The 20,608-nt window shown below is 40.5% G+C and overlaps 1 protein-coding gene across 15 annotated transcripts in view, besides 6 other annotated features; it reads right to left on the bottom strand.

The window, feature by feature from the left end:
• NEK7 (NIMA related kinase 7) overlaps window positions 1–19,295 on the bottom strand; it is a 165,423-nt gene extending 146,128 nt beyond the window's left edge. For 12 of the 15 annotated variants that reach the window (XM_017000345.2, XM_047446562.1, XM_047446567.1 and 9 more), the window contains exon 1: window positions 19,017–19,295. The gene's annotated coding sequence lies outside the window, so the exon portion shown is untranslated. Of the gene's footprint in view, window positions 1–18,886 lie in introns of all 15 variants that reach the window. The other 3 variants (XM_047446560.1, XM_047446563.1, XM_047446572.1) reach the window with 1 other exon arrangement.
• Window positions 309–368: a silencer, noted in NCBI's record as "silent region_1666". NCBI's record gives its function as "represses an Ori minimal core promoter by ATAC-STARR-seq in GM12878 lymphoblastoid cells {active_cell/tissue: GM12878}" and the evidence as "EXISTENCE:reporter gene assay evidence [ECO:0000049][PMID:35858748]".
• Window positions 10,173–10,272: an enhancer, noted in NCBI's record as "active region_2282". NCBI's record gives its function as "activates an Ori minimal core promoter by ATAC-STARR-seq in GM12878 lymphoblastoid cells {active_cell/tissue: GM12878}" and the evidence as "EXISTENCE:reporter gene assay evidence [ECO:0000049][PMID:35858748]".
• Window positions 16,811–17,030: an enhancer, noted in NCBI's record as "active region_2281". NCBI's record gives its function as "activates an Ori minimal core promoter by ATAC-STARR-seq in GM12878 lymphoblastoid cells {active_cell/tissue: GM12878}" and the evidence as "EXISTENCE:reporter gene assay evidence [ECO:0000049][PMID:35858748]".
• Window positions 18,570–18,619: an enhancer, noted in NCBI's record as "active region_2280". NCBI's record gives its function as "activates an Ori minimal core promoter by ATAC-STARR-seq in GM12878 lymphoblastoid cells {active_cell/tissue: GM12878}" and the evidence as "EXISTENCE:reporter gene assay evidence [ECO:0000049][PMID:35858748]".
• Window positions 18,860–19,459: a silencer, noted in NCBI's record as "silent region_1665". NCBI's record gives its function as "represses an Ori minimal core promoter by ATAC-STARR-seq in GM12878 lymphoblastoid cells {active_cell/tissue: GM12878}" and the evidence as "EXISTENCE:reporter gene assay evidence [ECO:0000049][PMID:35858748]".
• Window positions 20,050–20,109: an enhancer, noted in NCBI's record as "active region_2279". NCBI's record gives its function as "activates an Ori minimal core promoter by ATAC-STARR-seq in GM12878 lymphoblastoid cells {active_cell/tissue: GM12878}" and the evidence as "EXISTENCE:reporter gene assay evidence [ECO:0000049][PMID:35858748]".

Raw genomic sequence — 20,608 nt, 5'->3', positions numbered from 1 at the left:
CTCATGTATTTAAATGAATCAGTTGTCTGTCCACCTTAGGCCCTACCCATTACCTATGTATTAGCAACTACTACTCAAGGGCTGAATCTATTTGCTCTTCATTTTTATACCTTCGGCACACATGAAGATCCAATAAATATTTGTTGAATAACTAAACACAGTTAGAAAACAAAACAAGAGATTAAAAGACTACAGGTCTAACCATCAGGAAACCTTAGTTTAAATTCACATGAGCACCTGCTTTCGATTAAAGACAACATATCCGCCCTGTGTCTCAGTTCCCTCCCCTCTAAAGGAAGGTTCATAATGAGTACATAGCATGAGAAGACAGAGCAAGGTCTCACATCATTATCTCTGAAACAACAAATCAAATCAGGGCACTTTCTACTGTAAAAGAATGGCTGGAAGAACAGTTCTCAAGAGTTTTAAGCAGCACACAAATGCAAGATAGTATTATTTCTTCTGCTTATCTTTACCGAAGAGTTTCCCTACAAGCATGTGAAAGACAAATGATACTTATTCGGCCCTTTTAAAGTATGTCCAAAAAGCTTTTGATAGACTTTGTATTTGTTTAGGTTAACTGTGGACACAGAATGCTATTACAAATTCCCCTCATGTTTTTATATGTCATTCAGTTAGTCACATAGCAACAACTAAAGTCTGGCAAAAGCACATGCTCACTAAGCTAATCATTCAGCTGTAATACTAGAAAAATCATGACAACCAAACTGATTTAAAGAGCTAAGATAAATAGCTTGGCCCCATCTTCAAAACCAGATTTAAAAAACATTCTACTGAATTCCTTGTACTAAATAATTCATAGTATGAATTTTATCATAACGAAGTTGATAAGGCCTTATGGAATACAGGCTAGTACTTGGAAATACTTTCATTAGTATGAATTATTTATGGTAAGGTCATTTGTTTTTAAAAGCCTTTGGTCTGTAACAAGTACTCAATAACAGAAAAATCACACACAAAAAATGAAAAACACATTTAAATAAAAGAAAAATTTAATGGAATTTTCAAAATTAACACATGGTTTTACATTTAATCCTTATAGAAAGACTTATCAACTGCTCATATTTATTCATTTAACAAATATTTTTTGCATACCTACTCTATTACAGACACTGTTCTATGCATTGATTATTCCTGAACTTTCAAAATCCTCTCTTATTTACATACTACAGTTTACAATAAACCATAAAGTAGTTTTAAAAGCTTTCCTAACAGGCACGGTACAGTGCCTCATGCCTGTAATCCTAGAACTTTGGGAAGCCACGGTGGGAGGCTCACTTGAGTCTCAGAGTTTGAGACCAGCCTAAACAACACAATGAGACCCCCATCTGTACAAAAAATTAAAATATTAGCCCAGTAAGGTGGTTCACACCTGTGGTCCTAGCTACTTGGTCAGTAAGGTGGGAGGATCACTTGAGCCCAGGAGGTTGAGGCTGCAGTGAGCCATGATCCTGCCACAATGCTCCAGCCTGGGTGACAGAGCAAGACCCTGTCCCCCCCCAAAAAAAACAACAAAAAACAAAAACAAAAAAAAACACAATGCTTTCCTATCCATTATTCCTCTTGATGCTGCTGAAAACTGGACAAGGAAACTGAGGCCCTGATCTCAGTGGTAAAGCAATGACTGACTCTAGCTCAGGTCTTCTGATGTCCTCTGCAATGAACTTTTTCACTAAGCCCCACTTAGGCCCTGACTGCATTCTTAGGACCTGAGTTAGTCATAACAAGAGTCTATTTAATGTATAATTAGGTTAGTAGGACACAATCGATGTTTAGCAACAGAAATTTAGTCTGTTACTTTACTTCTTGGAAAACTCACTGCCTTCCTCCCCCTCCTACCCACCTCCCCACGTACACAAGAAACGAAGCATAATACTTGTACCTTTGAGATTTTTTTTTTTACCAAGCATAAACGTCAATGCAAATTAAGATTTCAAAAACGTAAAATTAAGAAAGGAAGGAAAAAAGGAAGTATATAAAAGCCACTGCCTCATAAATATAAAACTATCCTTGTACTTAATAACAAGATGTTTCAATGTACTTACAAGGTAAATCAAAGTTATATTTTACATTTTAAAATTTACCTCTGGGAAACTAAATTTAATTGGTTATATATTTTTATATCTCAGAACTGAACTATGCTTTGAATGGATGGTGCAAAGTTAACCTAGGCAGCTGCTAAGCAAGCTTTCTCACCAAACTCTGCCAAATTATTTCAATTCTGACCTGCACTATCTTGCAATTTCTCTCTTGCTCTTTTGAGCACAGACTATAAAATCATGCCAAACTCTGTGTGAATGTCTTTTAACAAACATAAACATATACTAGAAACAAATGTACTTTCTCTGGCACACTTACATGTAAAACTATGACTTTATGGAAATACTATCCAAAGAATAAGAAAAATTAAAAGCAGGAATAACATAATGTTATGCTGATAAAGCTATCTACGATGTTCTATAAAAAAAACTTTAATTATAAAGTTTTTTATATAAAAATATGACCAAATAAATGAAAATCTAATTAATACTGACTATAGGCTTTCAAAATGAAATTATATAATTGACAGCAGTTAAATTTTGTTTTCAGAAACCTGAATCTGTGAAAATCCATATTCCAACTAAAGAATGCTAAAGTGTCATAAAGATGGTCTATACTAAGAGGCTTTAAAAACAGATTTATTAAGAATGGAAATGATATTATTTTATGTTGACAAGAAAAATACCTCACATATTATACTTAAGTCAGGCAGCAAATAACAAGTTAAATTTTACTTTCCTCCAGTATTCATTGGGCATTTATTTACCTTTCAAAAAAGCTGTCCTTTTTTTTTTTTTTTTTAAAAGACAGAGTCTCACTTTGACTCCCAGGCCAGAGTATAGTGGCACAATCATAGCTCACTATAACCTCAAACTCCTTTGCTCAAGCAATCCTCCCAGCTCAGCCTCCCAAGAAGCTGGGACTACAGGCACATACCATGACACCTAGCTAATTTTTTAATTTTTTGTAGAGACAGGGTCTCCCTATGTTGCTCATGCTGGTCTTGAACTCCCAGTCTCAAGCAATCCTCCCACTTCGGCCTCCCAAAGTGGTAGAATTATAGACATGAGCCACCACATCCGAAAAACTGCACTTTTAAGTGGGAAAGAATGGACAAGGCCCCCAACACACCTTCTTTAGACAGACTCCTCTGCTGCTATATATCAGTCTCTCTACTGATGACACCAGAGCTCTACTCCAGGCCAGACCTCTCTGCTGAGCATGAGATATATAACCAATTGCCTATTAGACAGTGTTAGCTACATATCCCATGATATTCCAAATTCAGCATCACAGATGCATCTTCTCACCACCACACAAAGAAACTGTTACTTATTATTAACTTAGTTATGATCAATATAGATTTAATCAAGAATTGAGGGAGTTATTCTAAACTCTTTGCTTAAATAGGACTCTAAATTCTAAGCTGATGTGGTTAATATTTCTTCTCCTTTGCTCTTCAGCACTAGGCTCTATGATGACAACTTTATATATAACTAAGGCAAAACCTGCATTTCCTTATATCTTAGAACATTTCAACTCTCACTTCTCTAGCCAGCAACTAGGAATCTATACAATTTTCATATTCCTGGGATTTGTAGGCACTATACACACAGGAGGACCTATCTGACTGTCTCAGCACCAAGATGGTATGTAAAGTTCAGCTGCAAACATATTTTGTATAAAGATATGAGATTTCTTAAACTATACTGGGACAAAGTTTGCTCCTCCTAAGTCTCATGATCATGCTCCTACTGCTTATGAAAAACTACAGAGTCAAAACTGAAAAAGAATTAGAAAATATTCCAACGGAAGAAGAGAGCAGAGCTCTTTATCTTTGGTGAAAAGACATCCTTGTCCTCAACAAGGCAGGAAACACCTAGACATAAATTAAGTGTCCAAAGAGTCTGCAAGAAAGTTAAGTTTCTAGTTTCTTTATTTCATTTCATTTTAATAAAAAGTCACAGCTACTCAAAGTTCAGAGAGAAGGGGAGGGAGAAAAGAGTGCTGGTATGGTCTATTCAGAGCACCAATCCACACCCCAGCCAAAACACTGTGGGCTAACCTAGACTCCTGTCTCTTTATCTTCTCCAGCTCATTCATTAACTCGTTTTTGTTTGTTTTGTTTTGTTTTTCAGCATTACTGATATGTCTACCACAGAGCTGCTGGGAATACAAAAAGAACTAAGGCAATTCCGATAGCTTAAGTTATTCCCAGAGGAGACATACAGAAACAGACTTTTACAATATAAGGAAGCAAGTATGATGACAGACACCATCACTGGGTACTGCTACTACATGAGTTCACAGGAAGGATGTCAGGATTATCCAAGCAAGCTGTCAGGGTCAGGCAGGCCTTGTAGAGAAGACACTCAAGGTGAGTCTTACGGCATGTGGGAGTTAACCAGGCAAAGGAGAAGAGGTGGGACATTCCAGACTCAATCATGGGATAACTAGGGAACTACAACCAGTGCCCTAAGACAGGAACATGGGATGCAGCAGAGGAAAATGCCAAGGCCAAAATCATAAAGGTTTTTGATTTTTTTTTTTTTTCAGACGGAGTCTTGCTCTGTCGCCCAGGCTGGAGTGCAGTTGCACAATCTCAGCTCACTGTAACCTCCACTTCCTGGGTTCCAGCGATTCTCCTGCCTCAGCCTCTGGAGTAGCTGGGATTACAGGAGTGCGCCACCATGCCCAGCTAATTTTTGTATTTTTAGTAGAGATGGGGTTTCACCATGTTGGTCAGGCTGGTCTCGAACTCCTGACCTCGTGATCCACCCACCTCAGCCTCCCAAAGTGCTGGGATTACAGGCATGAGCCACTGCACCCGGCCCATAAAGTATTTTTAAGAGACTAAGTGGTTAGAAATTATTCTGAAGGCAGTAACTGAAGGACTTTAAGCAAGGAAAAAACCTAGTTAGAACTGGCTAGAGAAGCATTTCTTTAAAAAAATTAAAAAGCATAAATAAATTCAACTCAATTTTAAATCTGAAGGGAAAAAAAGAAAGAAGACATTACAGAGGGTTCTATTTATTTAAAAAAAGACATAAGCCCTTTTCTTGGTAATTTTTAAGTACACTGTAGTCTCACTGAAGTATGAATTTTCAAGTCTGAACTTAATTCCTTCATATATCTCATAAACCAAACTTTTCTTAATACATGTTTTGGCCAGGTGCAGTGGCTCATGCCTGTAATCTCAACACTTCAGGAGGCTAAGGTGAGGAGGACAGCTTGAGGCCAAGAGTTTGAGACCAGCCTGAGCAACACAGCAAGATTCCATCTTGAAAATAAAAAACATTTTTTTTTAAGAAATCTACGTTTGAGGTCCCTTTTACAATAATCTTGATTCTATTTTGATGCGAGTTTCTGATGTGCCATAACTACAAACCAAATAAAGAGATCATAAAAGCACTAAAGCTTTTATTGCTATTATCATCAAATTTTAAAAACATAAAGGTACAAGTAACTTCACAATCACTTCACAAGAGAAAAGAGGTTCAATCATTTTAGCATGGTATTCAAACCATCAATTCACAATTAGTAATTATTCTTATGAAGGGAATAATCTCAAGTATTCGTCCAGTTATTTCCTTATTTAACTCAGTGCAACATTTTCTCCATGAGGGGATCCTTGGAACATGGAATTAATTGGCAAATAGATAGTCATACCTTTAAGGAATAAAAAGGTTCCTACCCCTTTACAGAAAGCCAAACGACTTACCTAGAACTAGGAATGAACTGGGCTCTAAGGAAAGGAAATTTAAGTATACTCAGTCAACAGCTTAGCAAATCAGCTTCAAGTCAATTTAATCTAACTGCCTGTCATGTTTTAATATCATATCTTAACTCCAGGACTTATCTCTCACTTTATTCCCTGTTGCTCGAGCCTCTAACTTAGACTTAATTGCCAAACTAGTCTCTGTCTGGTCTCCACACACTCCTCCCCACTCACACCAAGTTCATGTCTGACACACTCGTTTTTCCTAGTCCTGATTCCTATCTCACCCCACTCTGAGATCTTTCAGACCTTGGAATTCAGAATTCAGATACAAAACCAAGCATCTCAGACTAGATCCCTGAATATCCTGACAGTGACCATTCACAGATTAGACCTTTACCTATTTCAAACAATAAGACCTCCTTCATACCATGTTCTGTGGGCCTTGCAGAGACGTGTGCCTGGCATTCATCCTAGACCTTTCCTGAAACCAACAGCTCAATTGTTCTGGGCATTCCCTTACTGCTAGGACCTGCCTAGACCTCCTGTCAAGTGTAGTCTCTGGGAAGCAGTCATCTGCCATTCTTTAAATGGCAAGTTCTGACAAGAATGGTCCTAGGCCCTACAGAAAACACAGATCTGTACAGGACATGATTCACACCTTCCAGAAGCTTATGCTCCAGAGAGGAAGCTAAGATAACTACAACAAGACTCAATAAGTACTAACGGCTTAAAGAAGCAGAAGAAAGAGGTTTATTTGTATTTTTTTGTATAGTACTTGAGCAGGGCCTTAAAGGATAAAGATTATTTTAATGCACTGAGATTGAACAGTGACATATGGAAAATGGACATTTAAAGTGGTGAGAAAAGCATAGAGTGGAGAAGCCAGAAAGGGTACAAAATTTTCCAAAAAAAAAAAAAAACCCAGTAAGTTGTTAGATATGACTAAAATGTAGGGGAATATACAGGAAATAAATAATCTAGAAAGCCAGGTGAGGATCAAGTGGGGCTCCATTTAGTGGCAGAGTGAGTCAGGCAATATGGTACAGCATTTGGTCGTTCCTTTATTCTCATATTCTGCAATTAATAAAAACTTAAATATTTTTAAAGCATAAACTTGGATATTTGTTTTGATAAGAAATACAATCCTCCAGACTCAAAAAGAAATCTAAATATCTGACAGTGGTGATCCAAAGTGCTTTCTAACTGTGGAAAGTTGGCAAATAAACCTGGCACCTCCAAGCAAAAATAAGAAGCATCTCATTTAGCTACCTATTTCTAATGACTGAAAAATTGACCTTCCTTCCAGTAGATGAAGGAGTTACTACTGTGCAGCAGTTATATCCATAAACTATTAATAACCAAACACTCAAAACAATGTAGATTTTTTTAAAAACTAACACATAGAGCTAAGCCATATGTACTGACCACTTTACTTTTAAACTATAAATTATGCACATGAATCAACTATGCAACCTATATACTAATTTTATAATACAGAGAAATCTCAGAATAATCTTTTCAAATGAGTAAACATTACAGAAAGCTGCTTCCCCATATTCCTTTCCCATATGTTCTGCATACTCCTCTCCTTTGTTTTTAAAGGTTTCTTTTCTTCCTCCTACTTTATTCCAGCCATTACATCTCTCTTAAAATTGCCACTGCCATCTAGGTTTTTCTCTCTCACTCCTGCTATGGTCCCTTTTTTAATTGTAATCATTTCATTCACTTTCAGCTACCTACCAACAACTCCCAAATTTATCTTTCTTTGGTCTGTGGATTGATAAGACCAAGTTGGAAAATGGAAAGAAAAAAAAGAAACAAAAAGATGAACTATAAAGGGAATGTAATCACAGAGTCACTCATTTTACAGCTGCCAGAAGGCTCCAAAGATCACACGGTCTATCCTCAAATTTCAGGCAAGTATGCCTCCCAAGTTCAGAGAAGGCTCACCTCAATTTGAAACTGACTTTACACCAAGTCTGTGCAGTCAACAGGATCATCTTTCAAACATTCTCAAAATGCATATGCAAATACCCCACAAAGTTCACAAGTTGGAAAATGTGGAAATGCTGACGTTCTGGGGATGACAACCCACAACACAAACAAAAAAGGCCTAGGAATGGTAGTACTGCCCTGCCAGGGACCACACACTAAGAGACAAAAGTCTCAACATTTTCTAACCAGATACCGTTGGTACATCATTACAGCCCATGCTTCTTATATTATCTGAATCATTAACCACAAAATCACTCTCCCCTAGGCCAGGCACTCAACTCTTAAACTGAGTTCCATATATATTACATTTAGCTCACACTAAGTGTCAGAACCTATGTTTGGCATTTGAAAAATAAAAAAATACACCTGGACTTGACCCACGATTTGAAAACTTTCTATGTCAAGCTGCATCTTCTTATAATAAATAAAGAGAAGGGGAAATGGTCATAAACAACAAGGGCTTGTGCTGTTTATAAACTCCAAATTTTTTTAAAAGGTGAAAACAAATCGCTGATAGAAAACAGTTTTAAAATTGCCAAACAGGCTTTTGAATAAAGAGCAACACTTGAATGCAAAGGCTTGTATCTACTGACAAGGAGGGAAGTTAGATGGGACTCAAGTGCCTGTCACTTGTTATCAAAGTCCCAGATGGAAATAAGACAGTCATGGAAAAAGGAACAGGTTACTCATCATAATGTTCTTGAACACTTTCCAGCGTGGCCAGACATGCAAGACAGAAAAGTCTGGTGCAGTCGAGCTGTGAAACAAGATAGAGAACTACAGGTAGGTAATGGTAACTAGAGGCAAAATCTCTAAGTGGCAAGGCAAAGAGCTTTTGCCCCTGTGCAAAAAAACACCTCAGGAGCAAGGGAAGTGGTAAGCTTTCACACCCAGTTGAGAGAAATTTTGTAAAAATGCCAAAAATGGTGAGAACAGTACACAGCCTAAGCAGTCCAGTAACAAGGGACCGTTTGGTTGAGAAGGAACTAAAACTAACACTTAGATGTACTATTTTCTTTCACCTTGCTTGAAGTGGCATTTTCTCTCCTGTTATTATCATCATCATGTTAATGAGTGCATATCATATAAGATGCCTTGGGTGCCTTTATCTCTCAGACACAACCTCCGCACAATCTTAAAATCTGCTGTTAAGACCAAAAACATCAGAAATTTGAAAATCTTTTCTAAGTAAAGAATCTGAATAGAAAAGCATAGATTTTGCTTGTTGAATTTTAAGTGTAAGAGTGATAGGCAGCAAAGGTGAGGTCATGAGGATGTCCTTATGAGAAGAGACACAAGCGAAAACACATAGGAAGAACCTGCATGTCAGAGGCAGAGAATGGAGTGATATATCCACAAGCCAAGGAAAGACAAGGATTGCTGCCAATACCAGAAGCTAAGAGAAAGGCATGAGCCACATTCTCCCTTAAGCCTTCAGAGAGAACACGGCACTGTCAACACCCTGACTTCTGACTTCTGGCCTGCAGAATGGTGACAGAATAAATTTGTTGTTTTATACCATCTAGTTTGTAATAATTTGATACAGCAGTTACAGAAAACTAATGAAGGCATATCTCATTTTATTGTGCTTCACACATTGTGTTTTTTATAAACTGAAGGTTTGTGGCAACCCTATGTGAAGTTAGTCTGTTAGTGTCATTTTTCCAATAGCATGTGCTCACTCCATATCTCTGTGTCACATATTGGATATTCTTGCAATAATTCAAACTATGTCACTATTATTATATCTTTTATGGTGGTCTGTGATCAGCAATCTTTGATGTTACTGTATTTGTTTTGGGGCACCATGAATCATGTCCAAATAAAACGGTAAACTTAACGATACATGGTGTGTGAATGTTCTGACTGCTTCACTGCACCAGCCGTTCCCATCTCTCTCCCTCTCCTTGGGCCTCACTATTCCCTGAGACACAACAATAATGAAAATTAAGCCAATTAATAACCCTACAATGGCCTTCAAGTGTTCGAGTGAAAGAAAGAGTCACCCATCTCTCACTTTAAATCAAAAGCTGGAAATGATTAAGCTTAGTGAGAAAGGCATGTCAAAGGTCAAGACAGGTCAGAAGCTAGTAGCTCAGAAGCTAGGCCTCTGGAGCCAAACAGCCAAGTTGTGAATGCAAAAGAGAAGTTCTTGAAGGAAATTAAAAGTGCTAGTCCAAAATGGTACATTATCAGTGGTTGCTGAAGCTCGGAGCTGGTCTATTACACTATTTTGTTTATTTTGAATGTGTTTAAAATTTTCTATAATTGAGTAAAACATCTGTATAAAAAGACAAAAGAAAAAAGTGATACTCAGTGAACACACCAATGATAAGAAAGTGAAACAGCCTTACGGCTGAGACAGAGAAAGTTTTAGCGGTCTGGATAGAAGATCAAACCAGTCACATTTCCTTAAATCAAAGTCTAATCCAGGGCAAGGCACTAACTCCCTTCAGCTCTGTGAAGGCTGAGAGTGGTGAGGAAGCTGCAGAAGAAAAAATGGAGTTAACAGAGGTTGGTCCATGAAGTCCAAGGAAATATGTCATCTCTATCATATAAAAATGCAAGTTGAAGCAGCAATTGCTGAAGTAGAAGCTACAGCAAGTTATCCAGAAGATCTAGCTAAGATCATTGATAAAGGTGGCTACACTAAACAACAGATTTCCAATATGGATAAAACAGCCTTCTATTTGAAAAAGATGCCATCTAGGACTTTTATAGCTAGAGAGAGGTCAATGCCTGGCTTCAAAGCTTCAAGAACAGGCTCTGGTTAAGGGCTGACGCAGCTGGTGAACCCAATGCTCATTTAGCATCCCCTGAAAATCCTAGGGCCCTTAAGAATTATGCTAAATCTACTCTGCCTGTGTGCTATAAGTGGAAAAACAAAACCTGGGCAACAGCACATCAGTTTACAGCATGGTTTTTTGAGTATTTTAAGCCCACTGTTGAGACCGACTGCTCAGAAAAAGATTTCTTTCAAAATATGACTACTAATTGACAATGTACCTAGTCACCAACAGCTCTGATGGAAATATACAAGATGATTAATGTTGTTTTCATGCCTACTGACACAACATCCATTCTACAGCCCACGGATCAAGGAATAATCCACTTTCAAGTCTTCTTATCTAAGAATACGAAATACATTTCTTAAATCTATAGCTGTCATAAACAGTGATCACTCTGATAGATCTGGGTAAAGTAAACTGAAAACCTTCTGAAAAGGATTCACCATTCTAGATGCCATTAAAAACGATTGTCATTCATGGGAGGAAGTCAAAATATCAATGTCAATAGGAGTTTGGAAGAAGTTGATTCCAACCCTCATGGACGACTTTGAGGGAGTCAAGATTTCAGTGAAGGAAGTCACTACAAATGTGGTGGAAACAGCAAGAGAACTAGAATTAAAAGTAAGCCTGAAGATGTAACTGAATTGCTACAATCCCATGATAAAACTTCAATGGATGAGGAGTCGCTTTTTATAAATGAGCAAAGAAAATGCGTCTTAAGACGGAATCTACTCCTGATGAAAATGCTGTGAACATGGCTAAAATGACAACATAGGATTTAGAATATTCCATAAACTTTTAAGCAGCAGCAGGGTTTGAGAGGATTGACTCCAATTGTACAAGATTTTCTACTTTGGGTAAAATGCTATCAAACAGCATCATATGCTACAGAGAAATTTTTCATGAAAGAAAGAGTCAATTGATGTGGCAAGCTTTATGGTTGTCTACTTTTAAGAAAACGACACAGCCACCAGCCTTCAGTGACCGTCACCGTAATCATTTAGCAGCCATCAACATTGAGGTAAGACCCTCCACCAGCAAAAATATTATGAACTGCTGAAGGTTCAGATGATCGTTAGCATTTTTTGGCAATAAAATATTTTTTAATTATGTATATTTTTTAGACATAATGCTATTGCACACTGTATAGACTACAGTATAGTGTAACTCTAACTCCCATATGCACTTGGAAACCAAAAGATTCATCTGACTCGCTTTATTGCAAGATTCACTTTATTGCAGTGGTCTAGACTAGAACCTGCAATATCTCTGAATAATGCCTGTATAGAGCTAGGGCCCACAGCATTGTTTCCTGGACCACAATAGGCAGGGTATGGTTCTAGGGTCCCCCAAATAGCAGGATTTTTCTTACTGTAACTGTGTCTTGACCAGAGCAGTGGCTGTATGGCCCTAGACCGGTGGACTTCTGATCACAGAAGAGGCAGAAACTCCCTTGGGGGCCTGGTACTGGGACATTCTGCTGGAAGCTCAAACTCCCTCACAACCATTAAATACTATTAAATGTTCAGTAACAAATTCCTTTCCACTTAAAAAAAGTGATTAGAGGAGTAAACGGGAGAACTATGTAACTAAAGACAATCTTTACTGACAGCTGATTTTTTGTTGTTGTTGTTGTTGTTGCATTTTTAGTAAAGATGGGGTTTTGTCATGTTTCCAAGGCTGGTCTCAAACTCCTGGGCTCAAGCAGTCTGCTCAGCCTCGGCCTCCAAAGCGCTGGGATTACAGGTGTGAGCCACAGTGCCCAGCCAACAGCTGATATTGTAAATACTCAAAGCCATAAAAGTGAAGGTGAAAACAATATGTCATTCAACAATAAAAAATATTTCTTAACAGTAAATACATTATTAAAACTTTATTTTAAATGCATTTTGAAAATGGAAAAAAATGTCAGTTTTCACTGAATACCACACCTACCACCAGACTACTCTAAACATATTCTAACAACAAAGACGGTGATGAGAACAAAGGAAGTCAATTTGTAGGTTGCCATGAAAAATAAGAAATAATTCGTTCCATAAACCAATCCTCCCCCCAGAAAAATCTTCTTATATAAGACCTTTCAATTTACATGTATTTATTGACTAACAAACCACACCTAGAAATAAACTGTTTGGAATAAAGATATACTATTTGCATAAAACAAATGACCTATTCTAGGTGTCTCTTTTTTTAATTTTTTTTTTATTTTTTTTAGAGACAGGGTCTCACTCTGTCACCAGGTGGGAGTGCGGTGGCATCATCACAGCTCACTGCAGCCTCGAAATCCTAGACTCAAGCCATCCTCCAGGCCCAAGCAATCCTCCTGCCTTAGCCTCCCAAGTAGCTGGGATTACAGGTGCGTGCCACCAAGCCCAACTAATTTTTTTTAAATTTTTTGTAGTGACAGGGTCTCACTATATTGATCAGGCTGGTCTTGAACTCCAGGTCTCAAGCAATCTTCCCACCTTGGCCTCCCAAAGTGCTGAGACTACAAGTATGAGCCACTGTGCCGGTATCATATCACTTTACTATATGGTCCAGCAGTTAGATATAAAGGCAATACAAGATTAGGAATTCATTACATTTTAGAAGTATAACAATTTTTCATAAACACATCTATTCAACTTTTCCAACCATAATATAAGGACATATGTCTTTGTTATGATTATAACCATAATAAAATGTATAGTAATTCACCTAGGTAAATATAAGGATATAGGGGAAATATTTCAACAATTTAAAAAAACAATTTTAAGCATGCTAGGAAGAACATTTTTAATTTTGCCAATTTTTTGAATCTGTATTTAAAGATCTTTTTGCAACTCACATTATTTGTAGTCCATAATATAACCCCCCAAGCCTCTTGTGCCTTTTTCTGCCTGAGAAACTATGGCTTGCTGGCTCTCCCCACACTCCAAAGAAAGTCATAAAAACTAACTCAAATGTAGGAACCATTAAATTTTGAATATGGAAATCACAGGGCAAAGGAAAAGGAGAATTCAAGCAGAGGAAGTGGAAATGGCAGAAGTGGGAAGCAGCCCATTAAGACAAAACTGGGCCAAGGCAGAGTGGGTGACAGGGCCTGTCATCAGAACAAACTGACAACAGGAGATGTGTTTCCCACCCCTGAAGGTCCTAAGAATAGAGAAGTAAGTGAAATGAAACTAACACTGGGCCTGCTACCATACATTTACAAAGGTATTTTCATTTACTCCTCAAGGCAACTTTATGAGTTGCGACAACTACAGTCTGAATAAAATGAGCAACTCAACCAAGGTCATAAAGTAGGCAATGACAACCCTGGAGTTTTCTGCCTAGTCTTTTCCACATCATGGTAAACACAGATAATGATAATATATGTGCAGCAGGGTCAGATAAAGAGAAGAGACTGCTTGTAGCTGGTGGCAACTAGCCAGGAATTCTGATTGTCCCAGGTCCTACCTGGGCTTCCCCGAGGGCTAAGGGGTCAAAAGTCCAGCACACACAAAACCCACTCCTGACTAGAGCTGAGAAAGTGTACTGTGTAATTTTTTCACAAAGCTGTTGCATTTTCCATTCTGCTCTATGCTACTCAGTAGCTACACCCAGGTAAGTCTACAGCTAATTCTTTTCAGAGCAAAGGTCAGAAGTACCTCTACCCCAGGCCAAACATACCTTGACTGTAGGCCCTCTGCTAAAGCACAGGCTCTTTCCAATATTTTTTACTGGGGCGGGGGAGAGTCTTTTTTGAAAGACTAAGTTAATGTTTCCTAAAAAGAAAAAAATTTGCCCAACCCCTTGCTTATGTCAAAAATTCCCTCTAAAGTAGACAAAGGTAGTCATACCAGTAGGCTTAAAATAAAAACTACTAGACAAAGAAACATATGAGTAAGTTTTGGTATGTTTCTTTGTCTAGTAGTTTTCATTTAGTAAAGACAAATGACTGACATTAGATTCTATGTCGCTTTAGTCAGAAGCAGGGAGCCACAGACAGGCATTCATTCAATGTCACAGGATAGGAGTGGGATCCTCCAGAAGCAAAGAATGGTGAAGAAACCTGAAAACATGGATAAACCTAAAAGAGGTTCTTATGCTGACAAACTCTGAAATGAAACACAAAATTTGGGAATGGACAGCTGGGTATTATTCTGAGGGAACTGTGGAAGATCAACAAATTGTCACAAGAGTCTAAGCACAAAAATAATTATAAAACGCTGTTGTGGAAAATTCCGAATCAACCCAAACATCAATGGCATAGCACCACATTTAGACCTCTGGTATTATTTTCTAGAGTGGGGGAAAGCTACCAACCTATTTGTATAAATAAAGCTTTATTTGAACACACCTATGCCCACTTGGTCAGATACTGTATTTGGCTACAATGGCAGCAGATGCAATCACAGGGCTCACAAAGCCAGAAATATTTACCATGTGATCCTTCAGAGAAAAAAATTGTGAATCACTATTCTATAAAAAAGCAGACTGGATTGAAAAAGTAGCCCTTACCCACTACCAACAGAAGACTACTAATAAGATTTACAAAAAGGCCTATTTCCATTATGTAACAGAAAACACGTATTTCTCAATTTTTATAGACCACTAAAATCAGTTTTATTCATTTATATATTGTTCCGCTTAACACTTTGATAGCTATTACAACAAAACCACTCATTGTATAACCTCATTACCTAAATAGTATGGCAGGGCAGTTATTTTGACAAAGGTTAAAAAAGAAGTTATCCTGCTCAAAAATATTAAGGAATGCTTCATGATCATCTGTCCTTCTCATTCCCACTGCCCACTGAAAAGCATGAAATATACTCTGTAAGTGTTTTCTTCAGAATAAAAAAAATTTTGTGAAAATACACAACACCTAGGAATAATCAAACTATTAATTACCAAAGGAGAATTCAGCAGTTTAGAAGTTTTATAACTCTGAGATTGAATTGTATCAATTTAAAAATTCTGAACTGCCATTATATTATACAAATGCATATATTTGATTACAATTATGTAACCAAATGTTATTCATCCATATTCCCTACAAAAATGGGTGGAGGGGGGAGAATTAAATTGAAAAAGTCTCAAAAGGGTAAAGAAATGCGTCTTAAAACATCTTGCTATATATTTACATAAATCCTGATGAAGTGCTGATAAAACAATTCGGAGCAAACAGTAATCATACATGGCATTTCCAAGACACCCTTAAGTCGTACATTAAGTTTAATATGTTTTATAGACGATGCACTGAAATACCTACCCTCGTAGTTTTCCAACAAAAATTCGAAGGGGTAAACACTTAAATGTGAATGAAACCGGGAATGAGGACAGAGTGCTGTTTTGTGCAGCTGCAGCTGCAGCTACACTGTGTATTTTTTAAATACTACACTGTGCATTTTTAAAATACCAAAGCCTATTTAAAAAAAAAAAAAAATCAAGGGAAACAAAACCTGAAAGAAATTTTGGAATTACCTACTTTTTTTTTCCCCAAAAGTGCGTAATCACTAACACTTAACTGGGCCCTGCTCTCAGGCCCAGTTCTCAGGTACCCTGAATGGTGGCGACATTTGTAATACTACAGAGGTACATTCTTAAAACATCAGATAGTTCCTAGGAAAATAGTGTTTAGTTCTGGAAACACTGTAAAAGTCTCTAATGATATCTCAGACCACATATTTAAGTGAAAAAAAGAAGTCTATATTTCAGTAAATGCGCAATAATTGAGGGGAAAAAAAAAGAATACTTAAATGTTTACAGTAAGTCAGAGCCCAAAACTATCAACTGCAAGCACCAGGAAAGATTTGGGGCATGAGGTCCTTATGAGATTAAGTACTTATTTACACAAACTGTAACTGCACTGGACTTCTGGTCATTACGATGCAATTTTTTTTTAAATTTATTAATCAGGTATGTTAGCTATAGAGGCATCAAATCTCCCCTCCTCTACTAGTACACTGCCATCATACCATATGTGCTTTCCTCATTCTTTGGGTAAGTGCTGTTTTACTGGGATGGAAATGAACTCGAAATTGTCCAGACAGGAAAATATGAAAGGGGGAAAGCAATGGTGGGTGCTACATGTATTATCTAAATAAATAAACCTAAATACTAGTTCAGACTATAAAATGAGTCTGTACGCTTAGAAATAAAGTTAGTCTTGTTAAATTGGTAAGATTTTTAACCATGGAAAGATTCCCAAGAAGTTGTGAAAACGCCTAACGATTTAGATTCTGACATTTAGTGGTTTTCATTTTCAGGTAATTTCAGAGTAAAACCCGCCTCAGTCACATGGACTATATTTAGTCTGCTGACCAACTTCGCTTCTAATCTACTATAAACTTTCAGTAGTAGTTAAGTTCTAGGTGCAGCTGAATCACGAAACGGGACACCTAGGATGGCTCAGGGAAAACTGAAGCCCCCCTCCTCCTTCCTTCCTTCCTTCCTTTCTTTCTTTCTCCAGGCTGGCCCTCAGCCTGGCGCCCCTTCCGCAGACATCCCTAGAAAAAGAACTAACGCGGCCTTCTCCGAGCCCAGGGCTGGAGTAGGAAGTACCCGCCCTCCCGAACGCGAGGTCCTGGCTGCGCATTGGCTGCGAAGGCCGTCAGTACTCCGGAGGGCGGAGCCTCCCGGCACCCAGCGGAATTTCAGGCCCGCACCTCCGGGAGGGTCCTCCGGGCTCCCGGGCTCCTTCCTCCCCCTTAACACTACCCCCGCACACACACCGGCCCCGAGAAGGCAACTAGCCTCCTCAAACGGTTCCTTTGCCTTTTTATTTCGCAGGCCTTCCTCTCACCCCATACAGTTACTGCCCCTTTGACTCCTCCGAGAGGCAAAGCTTTTTCAAAGCTCTAACACCTCTCCCCTACCCCAGCAAGTTCCCCGTGCGAGACCAAATAGAGGATGCCGCTGTTCTAAGAGTGAAGCAAGCTGTGGACTGGATCTCGCCGAGGGAGAGAGAATTCCTTCCTCTGGAAATAAAATAACTGCTGAGATTTTAAGTTAGCTGTTTCAAGAGCACTTGGCCATCACCAAGTGTTACAAACCAAGAATACTCAGCGGCCATTCAACAAGAGTTGCCACAAAGCATTAGAGGGTTAACTGTATCTCCTGTTTTACTGTTCACCGTTTTCAGGGTTTGACCGGTTGTCCCAAACATACTGTAGCTTTTGAGTGCAAGGACTATGCCATTCTTCGACCACACCACCAGCAGCTCAAGGTCCTGAACAGAACATATTTATAATACACATACTCTGTACTTTAATTCTCTAATGCAACCTGACAAGACATACTGCTGTCGCCTGGAGGGAGTGTGCATAGCCTTGAAACTGTAAATTCCTTGGAGGAGGAACTAGAAACAGTGGTTCCCATTATGATGGGTACATTAGGCTCTACAAACTATGGAAATGTGGTGTTTTCAATTGCATCCTTGAGCTCAGTAACCTCAAAGGAGAATAATCATTTTATTTCTGTGTATTTCTGATTTTCAGTTCAGTCACCAGAATTGCGCAAGGACAGTAACATGTATCTTACTGTAAACTAAGTATATTTTTTAGCATTTCTCCCCAGTGAGGACTACAGCAAGGTGAGAACACGATACATCATCTCTCCGCGACCCCAGTACGCTCCCAGTGCAAGACTAAATAGAGGATGCTGCGGTTTTAGGAGTGAAGGCCTACAGTGTAACAGAGGCAACAGAAGTTCTTTAGCTCTCAAGGCAGCATCCTCTAGGTTGTGCTCGCTTCCTTACACTGTTCTGCGGTCATACGGTCTTGTCACTTTTCTCTGTTTTCCTTTGGCTACCCTTCTCTGACTTTGGCCTCAGTTTTCAATTTCTTTTCCATTGCCACCATCACCAGCAATGTTCGCTATTGCCTCGCAATCCCTCTCTCCGACATTTTGTAATCCCGAGTCTCTCCCAAGTTCATTCTCCGACAGACCTCTCACGCTCCCTGTACTTCTGAAGCCACTTCGGATTCTCCCCTATCTGCCGGCTCCCACCACCCACTCTCTCCCAGCGCACTTCACTTTCCTAAGTCGGGCTGCTGCCGAATCCTGACAGACGGACTTCACCAATCCGCGAGAGATAAATAACCGACGTCGCCAATGAGCATCCGCCGGAAGGCGGGACTTCGCTTAAGTTCCTCGGGTCCCGAAACCAAAGACCTGTTGCCGCCGCCGCCGTGGCCACGGAGTTTCTTAGTTACCGCGGCGCCCTTGGCGGCCTCGGGCCTCTAGAGCCGGGGCCAGGTATGAAGTTTCCTGCCGCCCCCTCCCACCGCTGCCAACGAACAAGACCGAAACCCCCATCCGCCTCGAGCGCAGCGCGCCCCGCCCCACCTACCCCGAGCGAGGGTATCCCGGAGGCCGCCCCGCGCGGTCCCGACCTCCCTCTCCCGGCCCGACTCCCGCAGGCGGCCCCTCCCGGCAGGAGCTGCCCGGTCCGGGCGCCTGAACCCTGGGCAGCGACTCACCAGGAAGTTGGGAGTTTTCCGTTCTCCCGCCCGCGAGAGACCTTGGGCGGGCGGGTGGCTCGGCGCGGCGCCGCCGTCGGAAAGCGCGCTGGGCCGGGGGCTGAGGCTGCGAGGCCCGGAGCCTGTCGGCCACCTCCCGCCGCGCCGCCCCGGCGGACGCTGCAGGCGCGGGGCACCCACCCTGCGCACTGCGAGGCGCGTCCGGAGTGCGAGCCTAGCGGCGGCCCATCCTCCCGCGACTCCCGATCCTCCTCCTGCTGCCGCCGCTGTCAGGAGTGTAAACATCCCGGCATCCCCGAGGAGAGGGGCGGGGCGGGCGCCGGCCCCACCCCGCGTCGTGAGTCCAGGCCGGCTGCCCGATGGAGGCTTCCCGCCTGCGTCCCCGGCGCTCCCTGGAGCTGGGGGAGCCTCGGCGGTTTCCCTACTGGAGCCGAAGTCGCTCTGGAGGAGCCCCTCCTGGCCCCTCTCTTCCGGTTGTCAGGCCTAGCGTGGTGCGGGGCACCGCGTCCGGTCCCCTGAGCCCTCTTCCCCGGCTGCTTTTTAAGAACCCAGGGTCGGCTGCTTTTTAAGAACTTGTTTTTTCTTCATTTATATGTAAGTGCCCCCACTTGCAAGCGGTGAACCGACTTACTGATGTTCCCTTCTGGACCACAGCGTTTGTGATCCCATCTTCTTTTACCAGGTGATTTAAACTACCTCTGTGTTTAATGTGGAGTGCAGGGAAATGAGAAAAAAAAAAAAAGGCGTTTTCCTGAGTCTGGCTAAGCAAACGTTGCATGAAAGTGTCCCAGCATAGAGGACAGGGGCTTCAACAACATTCCAGAAGGTAAACTCCCTGGTGTGGTACGGAGGATCTTTGAAATAAATATGTGCAAAATCACCCAGAACCCTAGTACACGAAACTGCAAAAGGAATGCTTTGACACCAGCAGCTTCACGACTTAAGTTAACAGGGCATGAACTACTCGAGGAGACGGCTAGGAGGCAGTATGGAGTCGGCCATACCTTAATTGTCGTCTCAACTCAGTGATTAATTTTGTGACCTGGCTGCAAGTTATTTAACCTCTCCAAGTCTCAGTAACTCTCTGTAAAAGGAGATTAGTTGTAATACCAACCTCTAGGACCATAGTTAGAATTAAGTGAGATAAAGCAAAGTGCTTAACCACAAAGCTTGGCATATAAGACGTGCTCATTAAATTGTTGCTGTTGTTCATAGGTCTCTCACTAGTTTAACTTCCCTGACAAAAAGATTAGAGCCAAGAATGAGTAGATTATACCTCAAACATTTAAAATGTTAAAGCCATGAAATTAAGATCTGGAAAGTTTATTTTTAAAAAGAAAAATGGCCGGGCGCAGTGGCTCATGGCTGTAAGCCTAGCATTTTGGGAGGCCAAGTGGGGGGGGGGGTGATCACCTGAGGTCAGGAGTTCGAGACCAGCCTGGCCAACATGGCGAAACCCTGTCTCTACTAAAAATACAAAAACTAGCCGAGCGTGGTGGCAGGAGTCTATAATCCCAGCTACTGGGGAGGCTGAGGCAAAAGAATCGCTTGAACCCGAGGCGGGGAGGAGGTTGCAGTGAGCAGAGATCGCG

Source organism: Homo sapiens, chromosome 1, assembly GCF_000001405.40.
Source record: "Homo sapiens chromosome 1, GRCh38.p14 Primary Assembly".
Lineage (NCBI taxonomy): Eukaryota > Metazoa > Chordata > Mammalia > Primates > Hominidae > Homo > Homo sapiens.
Note: the sequence above shows the minus strand (reverse complement) of the source record. Positions and strands in the feature narration are given on the sequence as shown.